Genomic DNA, 11,647 nt, shown 5'->3' with positions numbered 1-11,647 from the left:
CTCAGTAAGTAATTGCCGCAAGAACAAATGGATGTGTGCTCAGGTCTAGGTGGCTCCAGCCACTTGGATACTTCTGCTGGCCTGTCTGGAGCAGCTCAGGCTGGCCAGCCATGGACTCTACCCTGGGAGAGTGTCCACATGGGGTCAGGGGCAATGCTTGTTGGCAGAAAGGCCCAGTGAAGCCCAAGAACTAAGGAAGCGCTAAAACCCTCTGCTGAGTAGATGCCATTTGTCCCTCCCTGACAGTGTTTGACCACCTGCCCCTTCAGGGAAGAACCACCCTGGGCCCTCCATGCACAGATGAGTCCCATCCCTGGCCCACGGACTCCTTGTCTGGAATAGGTGGGCCTGGGTCTCCTAGTGCAGGGTGGGAGCAAGGCCCCATTCCTCATCCTGCCCCTGTGCATCCCTGGCCATGTGTCTTGCCCTCTGTGGCCTCCATTTGCTGCCTTGTAAAGTGAGGCATGAAGCCCCAATGTTCTTACAGTTCTCCAGGCACATGCCTCACCTGCCAGCTGGATTCAGGCTCCCCAGAGGTTGCATCCTGGGCAAAGCTGACCCATAGCAGCCAAAAAAGGACAGCAGCTGCTCATTAAAATGGAGCTGCATGTTTTGGGTGCCCCGTACTGGGGGAGAATTGAGGACATTTGAGCTCTTCTGCCGGGGGTCTTTGTACCAGGCCAGGACAGCCCCTTCTGGGCCCCCAGGTGCAACTCTGTGGAGCTCAGTGAGTTTGCGGGTCAGTTCCCTCAGACGCTGGGCAATCGCAGGGTCAGAAACTGGCTTGGGAGGTGCTTTGTGAGTGCCCCTCCCTCACTCTATCTCCCCAGGAGACGGGAGCCCCAAGAGTGACGCCCTGCCTGCATCCTCCAAAGCAGGAGCGGAGCCTGCCAGTGGTGCATGTGTGAACACTTGTCAGTCATGCATCAAGGTGGATAGAGCAACAGATGGGTACAGACATGCTGGTGTGGGGCTCCTGGTGATTACCTCAGTGTTTATTGAGGATCATTTAAGAGTTGATTGATTATTGGAAGTTGCATATCTGCAGCCATCTTGCTGTCACACACATGCTTGGGAGAGGCAGAGTACAAGAGTGCAGCACTCTCAAAGAGTGGGTGCAGCCTGAAGCCCCTGCATTGTGGAGGGACCCAGAGGGTGATCGATAATGCAGACGGCACTTATGAGAGCAAATGAGAGAGTGAGAGCACTGGGCACAGCCAGAGCCCAGCAAAGGCTGCACGCCTCGCCACTGCCCCTGGGCCCAGCCCTGGATGCACACAGCCTGAGGCTGCCTACATCCTGTGCCTCCAGCTTGAGCTTCCTGGGCCAAGGGAAAGGTGGAGTGGGAAAATGTCACTTCTCATTTCCTTTGACCAGCTCAAGAAGAAACAGAGCTCGCTTTTCTGAGAGGCTCTTAATTAAATGATAAAAATGTGTTCCTTCACAGTGACTGCCAACTCCTGTCCACCTCTCCCTGGCCTGGCTCCTGGCTCCAGGCAGAGCCTGGAGGATGCAGAATGACAGGTCGGCTCCAAGGGCAAGCAGCGTGCCTCCAGAGCAATGAGATTGCACACCCTCATTTTGGGAAGATTTATGGCTGGCTCCCAGGAGATTCTGCTGGGGACCAGACTCAACACCACCTGTAGGGTACCCAAAGTCCGGTGGCAATGAAGGAATGAGAAGAGACAGGTTAAAAGTGCATACAGAGTAGGGGCTAGGGGGTCAATTGCAAAATGGAGGTTGCAAAAGACTCAGAGCTCTGGTCTCCACACTATTTATTGAGTACAATCACTGAGATCTAAGAAGCAGATGTTCAGGGCGAAATAGTGAAAGGGAGGCAGTGCGTCATACATGTAATCTATAGCAGTGGCAGTTTAAATGGATCTCCTTTGTGCTCAGTGTATCTTCAACTTATTGGAGGGTAGCTAGTGGGAGCGGGCTTAACTAGGAGCCTGCACGTCTGGCCAGATTCCAGTGCTTTAAAGGAGTGTCTTTTTCCTTGAACACAGTGTTTATGGATAAGACAGCAAGTCACACTCAGAGCGTGGGAACATAATGGCGATAAGAAGGCTTTCCTCCTCAGAGGCCTCTTGTGGCTTTCCACAACTTATTGTCCCATATTTTTATAGCCAGTTTATACAGGCACCCCATAAGCCTTTTTCCTAACAGATTCTAGCCTAGATTCGTCTGCTGGGGAAGTTCTTGGAAGTAGAGACTTCATACAAATTCCAATTACAGTCAGACGAGAGCCCATTCATAAGGGCTGCCCTTCGACAGGCTGCTCTCTTGCCACCTTGGCCTGGCCTTGAGCCGCCAATGCTGCCGCCAGCCTCTGAGCAGCGTGCAGTCAGACAGGGCCCCTGGGCACCTGTCTTACCTCAGTGAGGAGCACGGTGCACCTTGAGGGGCAGTGGTTAGCAAAAGCTGCCATAGGAGGCAGCCTCAGGGCCGGCTCCAGTGGGGAGAACAGAGTGAAGGATGCATGCCAGCCTTGAGGTTGATGAAAGGTCAGAGAAAGGCCACAAGGGAGCAGAGGGCCTGGGAGCTGGGCTGACAGCAAGGGCAGGTAGTGAAGTAGGGGCTAGGGAGGGCCTGGAAGGCAGAGAGTGGGTTTGTCTTGATTCCAAGAGCAATGGGTCTGGTGTGCACGGAACATTTTCACTGACCTTGGAGATCACCCTGTGTCTACCTCACTGGAGATGTTGTCCACCTCATTGCAGCATTGTATTCCATGGCATGGGCGTACACACATGGATGAACACACACAAACGCGCACATGCACACACATAGACACATAGTTTCCTTTTGCCAGTTTCTTACAAATGGTATTTTCAATTCTTTCCAGACCTTTCAGTTTTCAGTCATAGGCAGTGCTGCTGGGCTTCTGTTTACCTGCCCGCATATATATTGGGGGAATCTTGGGGGAGTCTGAGGATGGAAGTGCCAGCTCCCAGGTGCATGGGTGGCATGTCAGTAAGCACTGCCTGGAGGCCCCAGGGCAGCTCTGCCCCTTTACAATCCCTGGCAATGCAGAAGACACCTGCTCCCCACTCCCGCACCCTTCCTGTGTGTTATGAACTCAAAACATTTGCCAGCTGATGGAAACTCAATGCCAACCTGGGCATGGCTCAGACTCCCTCAGTGGCCATGGCTGTGGCCGTGGTGAGCTTGCCCACCTCCCACCTTGCATTTGCACTTGCCCTTGTTCTCCTTGGCCTGTGCCTCACGCTGCATTGTTAGTCTTTTCCTGTTGGTTTGCAGGACTTGTTTATATTTTCTGGCCACTTGTACACATAGCAGATTCTTTCTCCATTTGGTAGAAAGACTTTCAAGCTTGTCTGTGGAATCTTTTATCATATGGAAAATTTTCATTTTAGTGAAGTCAAGTTTATCACTATTTTCATTTATTGCTTTTCGTGTGCTAATTGAGAAGATTTTTAACCTAAGTTTACAAACTTATCCTCCTGTTTTTGACCCTAAGACTTAGATAAAGGCAACTGTGGATTTTGCATGTAGGAAATAGTCCACCCAAAATGTATTTCGTGAAGGGTATAAGATAGAGATGCAACTGAATGTTTTCCGGGGAGATGGACAGTTGGCGATGCTTGTGGGTTAGGAAGCCAGTGTGGAGCTGGTGGTTTCTGCAGGGGTGGGTTGATGGGGCTCTCCGAGCCCAGCAGGAGGAAGTCCAGGTTCCAGGCAGGGGCTTGAGTAACAGCCCTAATAGCACCACTTACTAGGTATGGTCAATTATGTCCTCTCTGCGGGACACAGTTTTTCCATCTATAAAATGGGAATGATTCCTGTCCCTATCCCTGAGTATACACAGGGCTGGTGTGAGCAGCAGGGGGTGATATAAGTGTGCTCTGCCAATGGGGCCAATGGCTGTGATGGTGCATCCTGCCCCCACCACGGGCCTGGGGGGCAGCAACGGCAGCCTTACCAGCACCTGCTTCCCTATGTTGTCCCAGGGTGCAGGTCGGGTGGAATTGCGGAAAACCCAGCATCTCCTCCAGGTTTCTATAGTCCTTCAGGGGCACATATTCTCCTGGTCACTTGTGATCTGAAGCTCCTATTGACGCCAGCTGAGTTCATGGAGCCGTTTCACCATGGGCATCTCTGTGTTCCTCAGATCCCATGGGGGAGCACCAAGGCCTAATGCGAGGCAGCCTTCAGGGAGGGGTTCATGTTGCACGTTGGCAAACACCTGAAGGTGCTCAGTGGACAGTGGCCTCCTGCCCCTGCTCAGGCTGCCACTGTGTGCCATTCCTTCCCCCACCTTCCTGCAGTGTTCCAAGAGATGCCTGATGTTCCCATACTTTATTCCAGAGCAGGTCCACTCTTTCTAGCCCCGCTCTTGCCTCAGCTTCCAACCTACCACTGCATGTCCAACTCATCAAGCTTCTTGCCCAGGAAAAGCAGCAGGGTGTGTCCAGGCCTGGAGACCCTGAGGAGACCCCACAGGCCTCTTAGTCCAATAGTTGGTTTGGTCATCGGGGCCAAGGGGGAAAGGAAGTGTAGGAGGGAGGAGTGACAGGGACCAAGAGAAGCCTCTCTGCTCTCGGCCTGGCCACCACTGGGAGCTCCGACTGAACTACCTGGGTGACCTCCACAAGGGAAGGGCAACCCCACACCTGGTGGGGCCTGATCTGTCTGAGGGGACTCAAAACATGTTGGTGGAGTGAAAAAAAGGTAGAGCTGGCCAGCCTCTAGTTCCTGCTACTCTCCTCTGTGTGTGTGTCTCTCCCATGTATGTGTGTTTGCATGTTGCCTGTGAGTGTGTCTCCTGTGTGCAGAAGTAGAGCATGACAAAAACAGCAGGAGGACAATCTGACATCCTCACAGGTGGCTTTCTTGGACATCTTGTTAAAAAATAGGTAATGACAGTGCTAGATCATCATTAAATATTATGTGGTCTGGATGTGTTCTCAGCTGACATAGCTGATTAGGGACTATCGAAAAACATGGCCAAGAGTTACCATTTTTTTCTTCCTGGGACATGAATTGGGGTGCTGGGGATCACGTGGGGCCCTAAATCTCCCTACCACTTCCTCCTCCCCCCTGCTTTTGCTCTTGCCTGTCACAGGCCAGGACCCAAGTCATATTCCTCCGGTCCTACCACCTAAACAGGCCTAGTGTACACAACAGGTGCTCAATGAATGCTTATCAAAGACTGGAATGAAATCAAGGAGAGCAAACACCCACCAGCCAGGACCCCAGCACTGCCCTGGGGGCGTTGGTAGAGTCTGTTTTAGAGGCGTGGGTGGGGCTGAGGAGACTGGAAAGGACAGGGAACTGTGACCTCTTTGAGCCCTGACTGGGTAACAGCAGGTGTGGCTGTCGCCCTGGAGACGGCCCTGGCAGGAGCCAGGAGCAGGGTTTGGTAGAGCAGGCCACCCCCACGGCAGCCCAGCCGGGGCGGGACCTGGGAAAAGAGCTACTCCCAGGTGGCTCTGCGCCCTTGTCCGAACCCAGTGGGAGCTGAGGCCAGAAAGCCTGCAGGGGGACAGAGGTGTGTGCAGTGTGGCCACCATCCTCCTTGGAGCGAGCCACAGCACGCAGCGGGAGAGCAGGCTGGGCCCCTGACCTTCTCCCAGCCGTGGACCCTACTGGGTTTGAGGGCCTGGCTCAGAGCTCCTCCTGGCCCTCTGAGGCTTGGTAACATCAGGATCTACAGACTCCCCATTCGATCTCCTTGGGGTCTGGTGGGCAGCCCCACGGAGACAGCAGTAGGGGGTGGGTGCATACCTGGGCATTTGGCCAGGTGCCAGGAGGGGGAAACAGAAACCTGCTCCTGTTTGTCTACAGCTGGTGACGTCAGCCGGTGACATCGGGGCCCTGCAGGTGGATGAGAAGTTCAAATAGCTCAAGGGGTGGCGGGGGAGTGAAAGGAGTCAGCAGTGGGGTCTGCGCCAGGAGCGCTGATGCTGAACTCTGGAAGGCCGCTGAAAGGGCCCGGGGAGGACAAGTCTTACGCAGCTGTCGGAGGCTGTGACCCCAGCGCTGCGCTCAAGGTGGATTCGGCTGCAGCTGGGCTGCCCCTGCTTGTGTTGGGGAGGAGATGCCTACGCCGGGCGTGCGGGGTGCGGAAAAGCCGCAGGTGCAGGGCCGCGTCCTCCGCAGGCGCTCCTTTCAGTAAGGCTGAGGCCCTTCCCTTTCTTAGCTAAGGAGGACCCGGTTCCAGTCGTCCAGTCCCCTAGCCGCGCTGCTCCTCCTCGCCTGTTTCCAGCCTCTCCCCGCTAGGTCGTCCTCCACGCAGGGATCTCCGAACAAATGTCCAGGCGGATCACCCCACTCAGACAGTCCTGGCTCCCGGGGCCTGGGAAAGCCGGGGAAGCCAGGAGCAGGCGGTCGCCTGTGCCCTGCCGCGTCTCTTGAGACACACAGGAGGGGACGGAGGAGCGTGGTCTCCATAGCCCCGCGCACCGCCCCGCGGGGCCTGCCGTCGGCTCATTCTGCCCTCTTGCAGGGCTGGGCTCCCCTGCCTGCCCCAGCTCCCCCTTGCAGCCCCGGCCTCCCCTGCTTTCCCGAGACCCCATTACTCTGAGATGTCCCTGGCCCCCGACTTCCCTTTGCCTCAGGTGTCCACAGGTGTCTGTCCCAGGCCAGACTGGACAGAGAGTCAGAGAGGCTCCAGCGCTTCGGGCCTTAGGGTGCCCGCTTCTTAGTGGAAAGGCCCACATGCAAACGGCGGTGGCAAATGGGACGACCGCAGCGGGGACACCAAGACCGAGCCACACCGGGAGACCAGGGCCCTGGGGCAGCGTGTGGGCACGGATGGCAACTGTGCAGGACGCACAGTGACCAGGAGCAAAGACGGGAGGAACGCAGGCAGGGCGTGCTGCCAGCCAGGGGCAGCATTCCCCAGGGTGCTGGACTAAGCGGGGACCTGCTGAGACGGGGACACGGGAGCACAGGACTGGGGAGTAGGAGGAACTGGCTTTCCTCAGCAGTGCCCTCAGGCCGCGCCCCGCCCACAGGTCCCGCCCCCGCACTCAGGCCACGCCCTTCGTAGGAGGCCCTGCCCTCTCCACCGAAGCCCCGCTGAGGCCCCACGCACGCACTCTTCGCAAACGCAGTTCTTCAGCCTTCGCTGATAGAGAGTTGGCAGACTGCGGAGGGCGTTAGACAGCCCCAAATCCTGGGCTGCCGGGAGGCAATAAGAGCAGAAGATGAAGGGCTTGGAGCCAGGGATGAGCCTGAGGTCTTAGGGGAGGATAGAGAACCAGAGAATGAAAGCCGAGCAGGCTCCTTTAGCTTCTTGGAGAGAAGTGGGTTGAGATTAGGATGGAGCTGGCGGGGGCCTTTCTTCTTTAGGTTCAGGGGTTTGCCCAGGAGACCAGGGCTAGGGGTCAAAAAGAGCCAACGCCCAGCAGGCTGCCCTGAGTGCCACGGGGTCAGTCAGGCCCCTGGAAGGAATGATCCCGCTATGGCCAAGGTAGGACAATCTGCTGCTTCTTCTCCCTCCCAGGAAAGGACAGGGATGCCCAGAAAGAAAGGACAGGGCCACAGTGAGGCCTCAGCCATGTTCACTGGGACAGTGCTGTGCAAAGCCCTGGATGAGCGCAGGTCCCACCCACAGCTTATGGCCTCCAGGCCTCCTTGTTCTGCCTTACTTCAGTGTGCCCTGGCCCGCCCTGATCACGGTGACCACGCAGGGCCCACGCTTCACCCCAGGGAGAACTCTGTCCTGACCACTGGCCACACGCCTCCCATATCCCCACGGCCACTGCCCTGGGTCCCACCTCAATGACTATCTCTCCTCCAGGCCCTTCCAGGCCACCCTTCAGCTGTCCTTGAGTGATGTCCCTGGGGCAGAGTTTACAGGAGAGGGGTCAATGGATCAATGACCCACAAAGTCGTTTCCTTGTGTCGCCTCCCAGCTCCCTTTACTCACTGCCAACTTTTCCTCTCAGTTCTGACGAAGATGAACAGAGAGGCTCTGAGAGGCTGTCCAGCAGATGAACACATTTAACTGCGGGTGAGCAGCACTTCCTAGCCTATTTGAACCCAGACCTTTTCCCATCTAACACATTGTGAGGAACACTAACTAAAGTCCAGAGCCCACCATTTATTCCTTCAGCACTTGAGTGCCTCCTTGGGCCTTTCTTGGTCTCCAGTCCGATGACTCACTCCTGCTGGGCATTGCTCCTTCATTACCCGCTCCCTACCTCTTGCCAGGGACTCCAAAGATTAGCCCTTGGGAGAGTGCTGGGCCTCCTTGGCTGTGTGTATCCCTCCCCACTCCCACCCTTCCACATAGCATTTCTATCAATAGCCATCAAGAGATACTGGTGAAGCCACTTTTCCTGCTCCTCCCACTTGCTCTGAGAAGTACCCCAGGAGGCCAGGGAGAACACGCAGTGGGGGTTTCCTTCTTGGGAACTCCCAGGATTATTGCAACCATGTGTACACTCTGCCAGAGGTGGCTGAATGTGGTCGCCCCTGATCCAGTCTGGGGGCACCTTAGAAGCAGGAATTTAATGGAGTAGGGAGTTCAGCCCTGAGATAGGACCACTCATCTGAGGAATGAATGAGGCTGGAGGAAGGTCAGCAGAGCCCCCAGCATTGAGAGCTGGCACAGCGTCCTCCGTGAGAAACAGAGACAGGAAGGAAAGAAAAGACTGAAATAAATGCATCCAGGGAGGAGAGAGGAGTGACTGAGGACTCTTGATGTGTTTTTCAGACATTTTTGGAACGTATAGGAAAGCATGTAGAACAATTCAGCTTGAGCCTCACCAGGTCTTCCCATGGTGCAGGCTCCACATGCTCTGCCCTGGCCAGGTCTGCAGGGTAATGGCTGCTCTGAGAAGGGTAAGTGCAGTGGGAGGACCCTGGAGTGGGCAGCTAGGACAAGGTGGCAGGTTCTCATAGCAGGCTGATCCCTAGGCTGACAGGGGCCACGTGGGAGACACCATGGGAGACACCGTGGAAACAGGTGCCAACTACAGGGTGGGGTGACAAAGGTGAAGGAGGAGAGGGCAAGGTAGGTGGGATGTTTGCTGTCACCCATGCCTTCCCCTATGCTCCCCACTATAAGCACTGGTTGCAGGGCCCAGCTTGTCCCAAAAACAAGATAGGCTGGCCAGTAGAGTTAAAAGCTGCAGCAAGGTTGAGCCACCTAAACAGCAGCCCCACAGAGACTGGCCTGTATGGACACCCAGAACAATCTGAATGAATCTCAAATGCACTGTGCTTGTGAGAGTATTGGTCTCCAAAGTATATACTGGATGATTCTATTAGCATGGAATTGCCTAAAACACAAAACTGCAGTAGGGGAGAACAGAATGCAAGGGAGATCAGTGGGGGATGGGGCTGGGACAGGGGGAGGGTGTCAACAGCACACGAGATTTTCTTGTTTGGGGGATTTCTTTTTAGATCATAGAACAGCTGTGTACCGCGATGATGGCAGTAGTCACATGAACGTATATATGTTATAATTCATGGACTTTACCCTAGTAAAAAATGTCAATTTTACTGTATAATTATTTAAAAATGAATACATTTAGTCATTTAAAGAAAAATAAACTGAAAGAAAGCATAAATAAAGCATTAACAAAGAAAATATAAATTAGTGATTATGGGAAAAAAAACAGCACAATTGAGAAATAAATACAAAAGTTCATGGTTGGGGGATGGGGTGGAGTGGAATGTGTAAACCACTAAATAATGTAAAATAGCTTTTTAAACACCACAAAGAACAAACAATGAGGGAGAAATAACCAGAAACAAAAGTTAATTATTTACTTTTGTTGAGAAAAAAGAAACAGAAAATTAATAAAATCATAAACATTAACTTGGTCCATATTATTCAGATATATTTGAAAACATTTAAGAAATGGATAATTTCCTAGAAAAATATAACTTATCACAACGAACTCCATAAAAGTTAGGAAGTTTAAATAGAGTGATTTGTGAGAAGAAATGGATAAGGTTGTTGTTCTGGGTTGAATTGTATGCCCCAGAACTCCTGTGTTGAAGTCCTAAGCCCCAGTCCCTCAGATTGTGACCTCGTTTGGAAACAGGGTCATTGCAGATGTTAGTTAAGTTAGAATGAGGTCACATTGGAGCCGGGTGGGCTGTCATTCAACACAGCTGGTGTCCTTTTAAAAAAGGCGAAGTCTGGACACAGACCCAGGCACACAGGGAGGATGCCACGTGCTGACTGGAGTGATGCTGCCACACACCAAGGAACCACCAGAAGTGGAGGGAGGCCTGGACAGATCCTTCCGCAGAGCACAGCCCTGCTGACATTTTGATCTCAACTTCTGGCCTTCAGAACTGTGAGACAATAAATTTCTGTTGTTTAAGCCATTTAGTTTGTGATATTTTGTTATGGCAACCCCAGCAGACTAATATAGTTGTCAATAAGCTATTCTCTAGAATAGCCTTTGATAATGTTATAAGGGACTTTACATAGTCTTTAATAAATAACAGGCATTTTCAGTGTTTTTTAAACTGCTACAAAACATTGAAAAATGAAAAAAACTTCCAAATGTTTTCTATGACGTAAATGTAACATTGAAATTTGGCAGGGAGTATAGTCACAAAAAAGGAAGCTATACACCAATTTTACTTATTAATTCCAATTTAAAAATCTTAAATAAAACATTAGGAAACAGAATATAACAATGCCTTAGAATGAGAATATATTCCTTATGAATATGCAGAATTTATTCTAGTAATAAGAGGATGACTGAATATCAGGAAATTAATATAATTCACAAAATCTTTGGTTCTAAAGAGATAAATCATATTATCAGTTCCATAGACCATGGAAAATTTAAATCTAGTCTGATTTTAATATTTTAAACCAATAATAGGTTAATACTTCATAACATTATCAATATAAATCTATTCCAGCCCCGAAATTCACGTCATTAGAAGGATTCCTGAGAGTGTCAGAAACAAAACAAGAATGTCTCCTGTAACCATTGTTATTTGACATTGCATGACAAGAGAAACAGCAGGAATGAGGAGCTAGCCTATTTTCAGATCACATGATTACATGCCTGAAAAATCCAACATAATGAAAAAGTACAACAAATAATAAGAAAATTTAGTAAAGTAGCAGTGAATAAAATTAATATTGAGTCCCACAGCTTTTCAAGCATAAAAAAGCAACAATTAAGTAGAAAATACGAATTAACAACCCAATAATAAAATGACAACTTAATTTTTTTAATGGGCAAAGGACTGGAATTGAAATCACCAAAGAAGGTATGCAGATGGTCAATAAACACATGAAACAATGTTCAACACAATTTGTCATTAGGTAAATGTAAAAAAAAAAAAAAACAATAGATACCACTTCATACTCTGTAGGATGGCTATAATAAAAAAGACAGACAGTAGCAAGTATTGGTGAGGTTATGGAGAAATTGAAACTCTCACGAACTACTGATGGCAATGCAAAATGTTGCAGCCACTAAGAAAACAGTTTGGAAGTTTCTATAAAAGTTAAACATAGTTACCTTATGATCCAGCAGCTTCAATTTTAGGTATATATGCAAGAAAATTAAAAACATATGTTCACACAAAAACTTGTAAACAAATGTTTGTAGTTTCATTATTTATAATAGTCCGAAAGTGGAAATGACCTAAATGTTTATCAACTGATAAATGGATAAAGTGTGGTATATCCATA

General features: G+C 51.0%; 1 long non-coding RNA gene across 2 annotated transcripts; it reads left to right on the top strand.

Annotated features, from left to right (window-relative positions):
- The first annotated feature begins 7,024 nt into the window (after positions 1–7,024).
- On the top strand, positions 7,025–10,260 carry LOC105376498 (uncharacterized). Of its 2 annotated transcripts, XR_930828.2 has the most exons (4): positions 7,025–7,438; positions 7,917–7,981; positions 8,687–8,814; positions 10,116–10,260. It is a non-coding gene; the product is annotated as an uncharacterized LOC105376498 (long non-coding RNA). The 2 variants fall into 2 exon arrangements; XR_930829.2 differs by lacking the exon at positions 7,917–7,981.
- The last annotated feature ends 1,387 nt before the right edge of the window (positions 10,261–11,647 follow it).

The sequence above is a fragment of the Homo sapiens genome, chromosome 10, assembly GCF_000001405.40.
Source record: "Homo sapiens chromosome 10, GRCh38.p14 Primary Assembly".
NCBI lineage: Eukaryota > Metazoa > Chordata > Mammalia > Primates > Hominidae > Homo > Homo sapiens.
Note: the sequence above shows the minus strand (reverse complement) of the source record. Positions and strands in the feature narration are given on the sequence as shown.